The sequence below is a fragment of the Homo sapiens genome, chromosome 12 (assembly GCF_000001405.40).
Source record: "Homo sapiens chromosome 12, GRCh38.p14 Primary Assembly".
In the NCBI taxonomy this organism is placed as follows: Eukaryota; Metazoa; Chordata; class Mammalia; order Primates; family Hominidae; genus Homo; species Homo sapiens.
This window is the reverse complement of record NC_000012.12, coordinates 106,629,400-106,643,426: the sequence shown is the minus strand read 5'-3', so window position 1 is coordinate 106,643,426 and position 14,027 is coordinate 106,629,400. Positions and strand designations below refer to the sequence as shown.

The window sequence follows — 14,027 nt, the reverse complement described above, 5'->3', positions numbered from 1 at the left end:
TTCTTTTCCCTACTGCTTATGTAGCCTCTCCCCTGCCTGCCTCTCCCACCTCATCTTGTGTCATTCTCCTCCATGTGTGCTATGCTCCAACCACATGGGCCACCTTCTCGTGGGTCCTTCAGCAAGCTCAGCCTGCTCCCATCCCGGGAAGGAGTGGTGGACGCTGAGTGTGCCCAGACTGCCCTGAGGCACTGAGACATTGTTCCCCCTACTGGGAGGCTGAATCATTCCAAGGAGTGATCCTCAGCAAAACATGAAGGCAACCGCCTCTCCCAAGTTACACCCCCACCCTGGGGGCAGCCTGTATTCAGTGATGGACAATGGGGTTGGGGGATAAAGGTCTGGATCCGTTGCTTTGATTCAGATCATTTTTAACTGGCCATCTCCACCTCAGAACTCCCTGTAGGATTGGCTGAAGCCTCTGTGATAACCTCTTCACTGCCTAACACCCCCTCTGTCTATTCCAGCATCCCTCACACCCCTATGGGCGTGGAGGCTGGGCGCATGCCCTAATAAACCACCTGTAGGCACAACTCTGCTCAATCTGGAGAGGTCACCTGCAACAGTGGGGCCTTTGTAGAAGCTGTTCTCTCCACCTGCAACATTCCCCTGTCCCTGGTTTTCACACTGTCATGGTGTCATACATGTATCCACTGAAATGTCACCTTCTCAGAGAAACTTGCCCTTACTGCTCAACCTGAAATAGCCTCTCAGACACTATCGTATTAGCCAAGCTAAAGTCTCTGCACAGCACTTCTCACTATCTAATGCATTACTTGTTTATCTATCAATCATTAGTTGTTTTTTTAAATAGAGACAGGGTCTTGCTCTGTCACCCAGGCTTGAGTACAGTGGCACAATCAGGCCACTACAGTCTTGATCTCCAAGGCTCAAGCGATACTCCTGTCTCAGCCTCCAGAGTAGGTAAGACTGCAGGCTTATGCCACCATGCCCAGCTAAGTTTTTTGTTTTTTGCAGAGACAGGGTCTCACTATATTGCCCAGGCTAGTCTTGAGCTCCTGGCTTCAAGCGATCCTCCCACTTCAGCCTCTCAAAGTGCTGGGATTACAGGCGTGAGCCACTGTGCCCTGAGTGTCATTAGTTTAATGACATATATATACGGGCACGGTGGCTCACACCTGTAATCCTAGCACTTTGAGAGGCTGAGGAAGGTGGATCACATGAGGTCCAGAGTTTGAGACCAGCCTGACCAACACGGAGAAACCCTGTCTCTACTAAAAATAAAATATTAGCCGGGTATGGTGGTGCATGCCTGTAATCCCAGCTACTCGGCAGGCTGAAGCAGGAGAATCACTTGAACCCAAGAGGCGGAGGTTACAGTGAACCGAGCTCACGCCATTGCACTCCAGCCTGGGCAACAAGAGCAAAACTCCATCTCAAAAAATAGATATAGATATAGATATAGATATAGATATAGATATAGATATAGATATAGATAGATATAGATATAGATAGATATAGACATAGATATAGATATTTCCCCTTTTTCCCCTGTCATCAGCTCCTCTTCTTGGTCTACCTTATCCACCATTGCATTTCCAGAGCCTAGAACAAGGAGCTAGCAAATACCAGGTGCTCAGTAAACATTTATTGAATTAGTTAATGACTGAAATTCTATCTTAAACATATAATATAAAGATAATTAGAGCAAACGTTAATGTTCTTTGAACAACTTGATGTCTTTTGATAAGAATAGGCGAATATGTACAAATTCTCAGATTTGGTTTGGCTTTGAAAATAGACTTATCATTAAAAAAAATTCACTGTCTGACCTTGTGACTTGGAGGGTGAAATTTCTTCTGGAATGATCTATGTGACCCTTTATTTAGAAAAACAGATATTTTGTGCAGAATTAGGTACCATAGAAGGAGAACTGGCTGTGCCTATGCCAGGGAGGAGACGGGGCCTGCTCCAGGTGGTCCCTGTGGGTCTCAGAAGGAAGGAGTGTGCTGAGGGAAGGACTGAGCCCCACCCCATGCCAGGTGCTGTTCAAGCACCTTCTATAGAACAACTCATTTCATCTTCATGACTACCCTATGAGCTAGACACTATTGCTATCCCCATTTTACAGGTGAGTAGACTGAAGCACAGAGAGGTTAAGGACCTTGCCCAAGACTTCACAGCTTGTAAGTGGCAGAGTTGGGAGTTAAGCCATGACAGTTTGATTTCAGAGACTGCACCATTTACAGCCTCACTGCTCCCAGGCAGATGTCCTGGAATCCCAGAAAAATAGATGTGAACAAAGTGATTTTCTTCTAGTTCCTTTCAAATTTTTTACTCTGAAACATATGACATGTTCAGGTTATTAAAGCAAGAATGTTTGTTGGCCAGGCATGGTGGCTTACACCTGTAATCCCACCACTTTGACAGGCCAAGGCAGGAGGGTCACCTGAGGTCAGGAGTTCAAAACCAGCCTAGCCAACATGGTGAAACCCTGTCTCTACAAAAAGCACAAAAATTAGCCGGGCATGTTGGCAGGCACCTGTGATCCCAGCTAGTAGGGAGGCTGAGGTAAGAGGATCACTTGAACCCAGAAAGTAGAGGTTGCAGTGAGCCAAAATCACGCCACAGCACTCCAGCCTGGGCGACAGAGTGAGACTCCACCTCAAAAAAAAAAAAAAAAAAAAGTCTGTCAATTCCATGCATGTCTAGAAACTCCCACTCCCAGAGTCCTTTACATCGATGCCTCATTCGATGTCTTGGCACTATGGGAACTTGCATGGCCATAATACTTAGAGAAGGGTGAAGGGGGAGATTTGATCTGATACATAAAGTAGAATTTTAAATAAAGCAAAAAGCAGCAAATGCAATGAGAAAAAGTCTATAGGAACAAATGATGGAAAGAGGCCAAAAGGCTGGAAATAGAGCTCTTGAAAACAACCTTTGCTATTCTTGAAGCAAAACAAGCTGACTGCTGAGGCTCTTGTTAGAGAAGATTGAGTTACGTTCCTGAATGCTTTCTCCCAGTGTTGTTTTCCTCTCACCTCTGGATGGATTAGACTAGAGAATCTAATATGATTTGCTCATTAAAGCCCATCTGCTTCCTTTTCTGATCTGTCCTCTCTTCTCTATCCTTCCTGATGTTTCTTTTCCTTTCTTCGCAAGCATGAGCTTTGCAGTTAAAGAGACCCAGCCACTTCCTGCCTCTGCCACTGATTGGCTGTGTGGCTATTCAGGCAAATGGTTTAACTGGTTCAGCTTTATTTTCCTCATCAGTTAAATGGGCACAACAATAGCAACTCCACAGAATTGTGAGAATGAAATGAGGCATATATATAAAGTGCCTAGCCTGGAGGGGTGCATATAATGGATTTTAGTTCCTTTCTTTTCCCCATTTCTCTTTCCTTCCCCGTCATTCCTTAATTCCTTCATATTGCTCGGCTGCACTGCTAGGGGAATAATCGCCTTCAATGGCCAAGATTCTTCATAGGGTGAATCTCAGGCATAGAGAGCTCTAGTGTTCAAAGCTACAACATAATTTCCAAATAAAGCTTTTAGAGGAGAATTTATCTGTAAATATCAAACACAAGTGCAACCACTTAAACATTATTAAATATTTCATCAAGCCCAGGAATGCCAAATATTAAAGAGAAAGCCATTCTAGTAGATTACTCTTGTTAGTGTTATTAATGTTAAAATAATTATATACAATTGTAATTCATTATGAATTAAGGGTTCATTGGTAAGAGTCAACAGACCTCTGTTTTTATTATAAATTGTAATAATGGATTCTATTAAAATCAATTAATAATACCCATGGGGAATCCAGTCCTTGCCAGTGTTTGGATAACAGAAAAAACATCTACCCTAAAATAAAATACAAAAATTCCAATCTCCAGGCTAGATCTAAGGCTAGTTGAGCATTTTACATATACTGCAAATTAAATAGATTTCATGTTGTGGAATGTCAAGTTATCAGGACAATGTTAAAATATCCAAGTGATATCCTATCCTATAGACAAGAAGATATGAGCATCCTCTGAAGACAGAACTTGCTAAAAATGGAAACTTACCATTGCAGAGTAGCAGGAGTGGAGTGGGGCTTGGATGCTCTATTATTTTCTTTTTCCTCATCTGTTAAAGGAAAGAAAAAGAAGCTAACTTCAGTAGGAAACAGTAGGAAAAAGTAAAAGTCCTCTCGACTCTCCCAAGTTTCAAAAGACTATGTTTCTTTGAAATGTTGATGCTTTGAAACAATATTTTGGCTTTTCCAACATGTTAGACTCATCATACTTTAATACTAAAAAGGGGAAATTGACTTTTATTTTAAAACTCTCATGTCAATTTTGTTTTTATTTGACACAATGTGTTAGAGTTTAAAGAGCATTTCCCTTTATCACTGAGCAATGTGATCACACTCATCCACTTAATATTTTCCTAACTGAAGCAGGACAGACTACAATTTCAACCCTAAAAACATAGGGACCTCAGTCACTGCTATGGACTGAATATTTGTGACCCTCCCAAAATTTGTGTGTTGAAACCTAATCCCCCAGATGATGATGATATTTGAAGGTGGGGCCTTTAGGAAGTGATCAGTCATGAGTCTTATGAATGAAATTAGTGTCTTTATGAAAGAGACCCCAGAGAGCTCCCCCATACCACTTTCTCCCCTCTGAGAAGACAGAGAAGATAGTGAGAAGATAGCCATCTATGAACCAGAAAGTGGGCCCTCACCACACCCAAATCTGCTATTGCCTTGATCTTGGACTTCCCAGCCTCCAGAACTGGGAGAATGAATCTCTGTTAATTAATAAATCGTTGAGAATAAATAATAGAGAAATAAATCTCTGTTGTTCATAACCCACACAGTTTATGGTATTTTGTTATGAAAACCTGAACAGACTAAGCTATTCACCATTTGTTCTTTGTAACCCCAATGAAGCAGAGCCTTAATGTGGGGAGGGAAAGTGTTCAGAAGAATCAGGTTAGCAATGCAATGGAGCAGGGTTTAGCACATATTTTCTGTAAAGGACATGATAGTAAATATTTTAGGGTTTGTGCATCAATAGTAAAAATCAAGAATATTATGTAGAATTTATATGACAGGAGAGAAAACAAGTTTCCATGAAATAGTTATTAATAAAATTCAATGTAAGGCCAGGCACAGTGGCTCACATCTGTAATCCCAGCACTTTCGGAGGCCAAGGTGAGTGGATCACTTGAGGTCAGGAGTTCAAGACCAGCCTGGCTAACATGGTGAAACCCCGTCTGTACTAAAAATACAAAAATTAGCCAGGAGTGGTGGCATGCACCTGTAATCTCAGATACTCAGGAGGCTGAGGCAGGAAAATCACTTGAACCTGGGAGGTGGAGGTTGCAGTGAGCCAAGATCACAGCACTGCACTCTAGTCTGGGCAACAGAGCAAGATTCAAAAAAAAAAAAAATCCAGTGTAATAGTAATAATCGAATATAATATTTGTAATATATGTCTATTAATAAGAAGAATTAAATTAATTTTGGGGGTGTGGGTAATGTTCTTCTAATTGGGATTAAAATTAGTATTGCCTATTATTAAATAGATTGCAAAAGTTGATCTGTAAAGACCATTTTTAACTTGCAGCCCTACAAGTATCGGGCCAGATTTAGCTCACATGACCCTGATTTGCTGATCCCTGCAATACCACAATCTGAATAACAGATTAATTTTTAGCATATCTAAAAAGAATTTGTCACAATTTCATCATGGATTTACTGAGAAATACATATAATCAGTCTCTTATCCAATTCCTAATAAAGATTATTGATAGGAACAGTCAACATAAAATTCCCTGACCCACAAAATTTGGCCCAAGATAATTAGGATAAATAACAATCTCAAGAAGAAAACTAATAATGTCAAAGCCTACAAATATTATCAATAAAATTTAATATAGACATTAAAAAGATCAATGAAATCAATCTGTGGCATAAAATTTATATGGAAAAGAATTGGTATCTATGAAAATAGTTTAAATAAAACAAAAATGAAAATAAAAAAATGAAAATGTCATATGATGTATAGAAAAATTTTTCTAAAATTAAATTAGCTCATCAAAGCTGAATCTAGAAAATATCTTCTTGATGAAAATTTATCAATATTGGTGTAATTCTGATTTAAATGTCTGCTTGTAAGCACTGTGGCAGATACTGTTGTTGCTTAATCAAAACCTACATGTACCCACCTTCTTCCTTATTTGTAGAACGCCAGTTTAGAGGGGATTGTGTGTTCAAGGAGAATGACCCCCTTTCAAATCCTAGAAAGGTGAATGTTGATTCATTTACAACAATCATGGTAATTAATTTTATGTCATCTAGCCACTGATTGGATTAGGTGGAGCATGTAACATGATGCGGGCCGATCACATTTCAGGAGACACTCTCTCTCGGGGCTTCTGGGAAAAGTATTTTTCCCTAATAAAATTGAAGGAGTGAGAGATTCTGGCCTGTTCTACTTTTGAATGTGGCTATGAGATGACACAATAACTAGATGAAAGCAGCAAACTTGGGATGGGGAAAAACGCAATCTGAGGACAAAGTCAACACCTAGGAAGGCAGAGAAAAAAAGGGAAAGCCTGGGGGCTCTGATTGTCACATGTGGTGCCTCTGTTGAACCAACCCAAACAATGGCTGCCTCCTGTTCTATGAGATAGCACAGTTTCTTCAGTTGATAAAACCTCCTTTCATTGGGTATTCTCTTCCCTGCCACCAAAACCATTCTAACTGGTAGTTAGAACCCAAACCACACTAATGCTAAATGTTCTCAGGAACGGAATGTAAAATACATCGTAGACTCAACACTTGTTCATGATGCTTTGTCAACCTGGAGTTCTTCTAAATAGATGTTTCTCATCCTTTCCAGCCTGGAATAAATGCCACCAACTCTTTGAAGCCTTCCTTGATACTCTCTTAGTCAGGAATCAATCATTGATCCTAACTCTGTGCTTCTATAACACATTATTTGCCTGTTAGCTGCCCAGTGTAGCCACCTGGATCATTATTTCTTTCTTTTCTTTTCTTTTTTTTTTTTTTTTTGAGACAGAGTTTTGCTCTTGCCACCCAGGCTGGAGTGCAATGGCACGATCTCAGCTCACTGCAACATCCACCTCCCAGGTTCAGGTGATTCTCCTGCCTCAGCCCCCCAAGTAGCTGGGATTACAGGTGCCCACAACCACGCCTGGCTAATTTTTTGTATTTTTAGAAACCCCATTTAGAGATGGGGTTTCACCATGTTGGTCAGGCTGGTGCCAAACTCCTGACCTCAGGTGACTGGAGCATTATTTCTGTATACATCCATCCCTTCTGCTCAAGCATAAACTCAGTGAGAAGGCAGGGGTGGTATCTCAGTCATCTGCATTACCTCCTGCAGGACCTAGCATAGTGCCTTCCACTTAGTATTTAAATACTTAAGTGTGCCTTCTCCAGTCTTAAAGAACAGCACAATAAAGACATGAACATGTGGGTCTCACAAGAATGTGGGTAAGTGAACCCCTAAACACATAGAACAATACTCAACCTCTGTTGTTCACAAAGAAGTGAAAAGGAAACAAATAATGAGGCACTCCTTATATCTCTGAGGGAAAAGCAAATTTAAATAATGACAATTTTTGATGCTGGTGTATACATGGTGAAATTGACACTCTCAGAGTTCTTTATACCTGAAGGTAGTGTTAATGTTTTTAGTATGCAGTTTGGCAGTAATACTGAGGGACATCTAAAATGTTCAGCTGCTTGTCCTCACAACCCAACTTCTAGAAATTATAATACTGAGCAAATAATTGAAAGGAAAGAAAAGGCTATATGAAAAACATGGGACCGGGCATGGTAGCTCACCCCTGTAATCCTAGCACTTTGGGAGGCGGAGGGGGGCAGATCACTTGAGGCCAGGAGTTTGAGACCAGCCTGCCCAACACAGTGAAACCCTGTCTCTACTAAAAATACAAAAATTAGCTGGGCATCGTGGCGCACACCTGTAATCCCAGCTACTCGGGTGGCTAAGGCACAAGAGTCTCTTGAGCCTGGGAGGCGGAGGTTGCAAAGAGATCACGCCACTACACTCCAGCCTGTGTGACAGGAGTGAAACCCTGTCTCAAAAACAAACAACAATGACAAATTGTCAATTGTATTTTTTTAAACAAGAAAAACAACCAAAATCTACCTCTACCTAGCTTGCACTGGCATGTTGTTAGTATTTTTGTTCCCCCTAAAACTGGCGGGGTTTTACATTTTTGTTTCTTTAAATTTCAGCATTTTGGTCCACCTGGACAGGTTGTCAAAAGACCTAGATTCGAATAATCCTAACACTTACTGGCCAGAACTGAGCAAATCACTCAACTTACTTGAGCTTCATTTTTCCTCATTTGTAAAATGGTCATCTTCTATGGCAATTATAAGAATCCTATTAATTTGTTCAACAAATATTTATTGAATATCTTATTTGTGCCAACTAGGCACTGGGGAGAAAGAAATTAAACTCTTGCCCTTGAGTTTGGTTGGGAAAAGAGAAAGGCAGAGGAGAGAGAGGACAAATTCAGCAAGAAGTGGTAAGTGCTGTGATACAGGTAGGCACAGAGGAGTCGGCCAACCCAGACTACATGAAAAAGCAGAGCTTGTCAGAGAAGACTCCCTGGAAGAAGTGATAGGTGAGCTGTGTCCTGGAGTGAGCCAGAGATGGGCACCAGATGGGGGGAAGGTGGGATGGAAGTGAGGAGTAGGGTGGAGAAGGTGAGAGCAGATAAAGACAAGGGGACCTGACAGATTATGTCACTTTCCCAGAAGCAAGGTGGCTGCAGCACGGGTCTCTGCTGGGTGTGGCAGAGTGGATCCAGGTGAGTATGGAACGTGATGTGATGTTTAACAATCTAATTATCCCGTTTAAGTCTTAAGACAGTCATCTCTAAATGGAGGATAATAATAATCCCTACCTCAAAAGGTTGTTGGGAGGATTAAGTGAAATGAGCTTAACAGAGGGTAAGCGTTCAAAAGCACCCTCTGCAGCCATCTGCGGGGAAAGGTTGCCCTTGGCTGTGCCTGGCCGGCCAGGAGGCTTTTGGAGCAATTCTGTCTGCTGGGATCTGCTGCTTTGGAAGATTTACAGGGGCAAAGACAATGGCATCACCAAGGACCTCACAAGGCAAACACACACCAGGGGACGTCACAGCTCCATATAGGAGACGGCACTTGAGCTGAGCCCTGAAGGGATGGTTGAGGTTTTTAAAAAATAACGTTGCTTTATATTCACAAAAGTAATGCATGTTCATCTTTTTAAAATTAAGAAAGTATGGAGAAAATATCTGAGAATCCAAGCTCCTCTCAACAGAGGGAACAACTGTTATCTTTTTATCCTATTTGCCTCATCTTTTATCAGGGTTCTTTCACACACAAGCACATGCATATCTACACTTAAAACATGTGAGGGTCATACAGTCCATCCTAGTTTGTAACCTGCCCTGTTCATTTTGAAGAGGACCTGTCAGACTCTGGGAGGAGGCCACCAAGGGAGAGGGTACTCCAAGAGGCAGAAGCAGCAGGAGCAAAGGCAAGGAACTGGGACCTGGGGCCCAGGGAAGATGCATGTGGTCCCATTGGTGGAGCCAGGGAAGCTCCCTGTTCTGGGATTCCATCGCAGTGTCTCCCACTCAAGCAATACTGCCTTTGTTATATCAGGTTTTTTTCCCAACTAAACTTTGTTATGGCCCCATTTCTGAGTATCAGTGAATAAAAATAACTTGGCTTTGAGGACAGGCAGGCATGGGTTTAAATTCCAGCATTGCCCCCAACTGTGTGGACTTTGAGCAGCAACTTGACTCATCCAAGCCTGAAGGCCCTTATCTAAAAAAATGTGAATCATAACTTCTGTCACAAGGATGTTTTGAGGATTAAATATAATATGTTAAGAACTAGATACAGTTTTTAAAAATGCCATACTAATAATAGCATTCATTGGTCAAGTACTTAAGCCAGGCACTACACATCACTTTTCATATGCTACCTCATTTTATTCCTCCAAATATTGCTATGAAGAAGTTTTATATCCCCATTTTATAAATAAGGAAACAGATCTTTGGTGAGGGTGAATAATTGCATGAGGCCATGTAGCTGGTGAATGGAAACAGGACCTCACTAGGTGCTCAGCAATCCAGTGGCTACTGATAGTGTTTAGAAGAGAACTGGTCTACCCCAAAGCCAATGTGGGCCCTCCAGCTCAGTCAGCAAACAGGTGCTGTCCACCTCTGCTGGCTCCTTTCCTTAGATCACTGGTGACTTTGTGCCCAGGGTCTGAATGCCCAAGCCCTTTTCTTCTAAAGTAGGAGGTGTGTCACACCCAGGCCTGACCCTCCTATTTGATGGCTCTCTATCTCAGTTCTCCTGAAGTGCTGGCTATTTATTTACTCATTCATCAGATATTTATTGAGCGTCTGCTACATTCCAGTCCCATGACAGGTGCTAAAGGGTAAGAAAAAACAGACGTAGTCACTGCTCTCTTGAGGCCATAAATTATCAGCCAATTAAATGTAAGTCCAAGCCAGATACGGTGGCATGCACCTGTAGTGCCAGATACGGTGGCGTGCACCTGTAGTGCCAGATACGGTGGCATGCACCTGTAGTGCCAGATACGGTGGCATGCACTTGTAGTCCCAGCTACTCAGGAGGCTGAGCTGGGAGGATCACTTAAGCCCAGGAGCTCCAGACCAGCCTGGGCAACATGGCAAGACCCCATTTCAAAAGTAAAGTAAAATTAAAACAAAACAAAACAAAAAGAAACCCCAAACTTTAAAATTAAGTCCTAGGCAAGAGCTGTGAAATGCAGGTCCAGGATGCTATAGCAGCACCAAGTGTGGGGTATGAGCCTGGCTTGGGCATCTGAGGAGGAGCAGCAACCTTACCTAGGAGAAGAGAGTAGAGAGTAGGAGAACACATTTTAGGTAAATAGCCATAGTTGATAGAGACTTTAGGAACTGGTCCTGCCAAATGCCTTTTCGTTTTCACTGGGAGACATGCCTTGAACCAAACAAGATTCATCCTGTAAAGTATCATTTTAGGCCAGCAGGATTCCTGGAGCCATTCGCAGGCACACCTGCAGTGCCCCGCTGATGGTCCTGCCAAGGCTGGAGAGCAGTGGTCTGCTTTAAAAAAAAAACTCCTGCCAAGATGCTGCCCCAGCGCCTGGTCTTCTTGCCACTCCGTTCTGCTCCCACTTGGCAGTTATGATTCCTAACACGGTGCAGAGGTCTCAGTCCAGTTTGCAGTGGTGAGCATCTCTGCTCTCCTCTCTGCATCTACCTCCTGACATAAACTCTGGGGCCAAATTTCCAGGCTCAAATCCCAGCTCCACTACTTATTAGCCACGTGACCTTGAACAACATTTTGGTTCCTCAGTTTCATTATCTGTAAAATAGGGATAATAATAGTACCAAGCACATACAGCTGTCATGAGTATTAATTGAACCACTTCCGGTTCAAAGGACTTGCTATCTAAGTGTTCCCTGCTCCTATAATGGTTATTGCTCCTCCAGAGGGACCATGTGCCTGAGGTTTGGCAAGCCCTGCAGCAGGGACAGGGTTATTCACTCTGTGCTGCCTCAGCACCCTGACTGCTCCCCAGCAAAGTCCCCATGGCAGAGTGTGGTCGCTGCCCATGGATCATTTTAATCCATTCAGGCTGCTGTAACAAAATACCACAGACTGGGTGGTTTTTAGACACAGAAATTGATTTCTCACAGTTTTGGAGGCTTGGAAGTTCAAGATGAAGGCACCAGTGATTTGGTGTCTGGTGAGGGTCTGCTTCCTGGTTCAAAGACAGCTGTCTTCTTGCCCTGTGTTCACACATGGCAGAAGGGGTGAGGGAGCTCTCTGGGGCCTCTTTTATAAGGAGACACTAATCCCATTCACAAGGGCTGAGCCTTCATGACCTAACCCTTCCCCAAAGCCTCATCTCCAAATACCATCACATAGGGGGTTAGAGTTTCAACATATGAATTTGGGGGGATACAGACATTCAGTCTGCAGCACTGACCACTGGGTCTGCCTTGTTAGCTTGTAAGCTCTGCAGGGTGCAGACCTTGCTCACCGTTGTCTCCAGCACCCACATGTGGTAGGGTCGGAGGAAGCACTTGTGGAATGAGTGAATGAATAAAATGACACCACAATTAAAAGTGGAGCCTTCCCATCTGATTTCAGTAAGCATACAAAACAGCAGTACCATCGGGGAATGTTTATTGAGGACTCATATTGTGCCAGGCACTGTGCAAAGCTCTTCATGGTATGGCATTTAGTTTTCACAGCTGCCCTAGACAGTGAACAGTTTAATGCATGTGAAACATCAAATGCAGTGCCTTAGTGCTTAATCAATGTTAGGCCTAATGATTAGTATTATCCCCGTTTACAGAGGAAGAAACTAAGGCTCAGAGAAGTGAAGGAATTTGTCTGAGGTCACATAGTGAGTGGCAGAGCAAAGACAAGGACCCAGGCTAGTTGATGTCAAAACCTCCCCAGACCCAAACATTTATAAGCCTCATTCTGTCTTCAAACTCATAGTACTGGACTGAAGATTTTAGAGAAGTTATTATCTGCCTCATCATTTCCTTTCTGCCTCCATGTCAAATGAATTCACATTTGGGAATCTATTCCAGAATATTTCCTGCCTGGAGTCAGTGTGGCAGAGTTTAATATTGAGGAAACACATTTCTAAATTAATTACTTCTTTTCAAATCCCAGGAAAGGTTCAAGTTTATGTGAGTCTCAAATTTCACTTCAAAGTTCTAATTCTATTTCCTTTCATTATACTGACCTGGCTGCACCTGGCCAGAACTCACCTGTTGGGAACATGGGGCTGCCAAACGTTTCATTTCCCCTCATTTGCCTCGTTTCCAGCCCCTGCAAAGGGCACCAGCTGATGAGCAGGGTGACTGGCACCCAGGCCTTTGGCAGTGGGCATCAGCCTCTGGCAGCAAACCCTTCTCCCCGTGGGAACGTGGCTAAATCCCAAACAAAACTGTGATGTTGGCAGCATTTGCTGTGAGGGGCCCACACCTGCTTCCTCTCGCCTCCTCTGGGTGAATTCCTTCATAATCTTGGAGCGAGAAAGAGGCTGTCTAACTTTGATACAAAATCACAAAGCCATAAAAGAAAAGATTGATAAATTTTACTATATAAAAAATCCAAAATTTCTATGTGAGGGAAACAAAAACCACAACATGAGTACAAAGATAATGACTCACTCAGGAAAACTGCAATCATTCCACAGACAATGGTCTCATCTGCCCACCATAGAAAAGAGCTCCCAAAAAAATAGCAGGAAAAAGACCAAGAACCAAAAGAAAAAATAGGCATGCACATGACACACAGTTCATGGAAAAAACACAAATGCTCTTAAAAGGTGGAAAGATGGTCAGTTTTAATCAATAAACATAGAAATTACACCAAGATGGCATTTCTTACTTATCAGATTGGCAAAAATCCAAATCACAACCGCACAACTCTGCTGTGAAGCTATGAGAAACAGGCACCCTCCGACCTTGCAGGGGGAGAGCGAACCGTGCCTCCTGGCCAGACAGTGGCTCACACCTATAATCCCAACACTTTGGGAGGCTGAGGCCGGAGGGTCATAGTGAGACCCCGTCTCTACAAAAAATTTAAAAAATTAGCTGGAAAGACTGGGCATGGTGGCTCATGCCTGTAATTTCAGCACTTTGGGAGGCCAAGGTGGGCAAATTGCTTGAGCTCAGGAGTTCAACCAGCCTTAGCAACATGGTAAAACCCCATCTCTATAAAAAAATTAGCCAGGCATGGTGGTGCACACCTGTACTCCCAGCTATTCAGAAGGCTGAGGTAGGAGCCATCACCTGAGCCTGGGAGGTTGAGGCTGCAGTGAGCCACGATTACACCACTGCACTCCAGCCTGGGTAACAGAGCAAGACCCTCTCTCAAAAACAAAAACAAAACAAAACAAAACAACAAAACAAACAAAACCCAGGGCTTCCCTGTATGGAAGGTCATTTGGCAGAATCTACTGAAATCCCACGTA

General features: G+C 42.8%; 1 protein-coding gene and 1 long non-coding RNA gene across 3 annotated transcripts in view, besides 1 other annotated feature; one reads left to right on the top strand and one right to left on the bottom strand.

Moving 5' to 3' along the window:
* LOC100287944 (uncharacterized) overlaps positions 1–14,027 on the top strand; it is a 278,422-nt gene that overhangs the window by 131,405 nt on the left and 132,990 nt on the right. The window lies entirely within an intron of this gene.
* The window catches only part of RFX4 (regulatory factor X4), a 179,800-nt gene that overhangs the window by 119,377 nt on the left and 46,396 nt on the right, over positions 1–14,027 (bottom strand). For both annotated transcript variants that reach the window (NM_213594.3, NM_001206691.2), the window contains exon 3: positions 4,035–4,095. In NM_213594.3, coding sequence (NP_998759.1) covers positions 4,035–4,095 — 61 coding nt within the window. The remainder of the gene's footprint in view (positions 1–4,034; positions 4,096–14,027) is intronic.
* Positions 12,822–13,116: a silencer, noted in NCBI's record as "tiled region #7289; K562 Repressive non-DNase unmatched - State 22:ReprW". NCBI's record gives its function as "represses a minimal TATA promoter and a strong SV40 promoter by Sharpr-MPRA in K562 cells {active_cell/tissue: K562}" and the evidence as "EXISTENCE:reporter gene assay evidence [ECO:0000049][PMID:27701403]".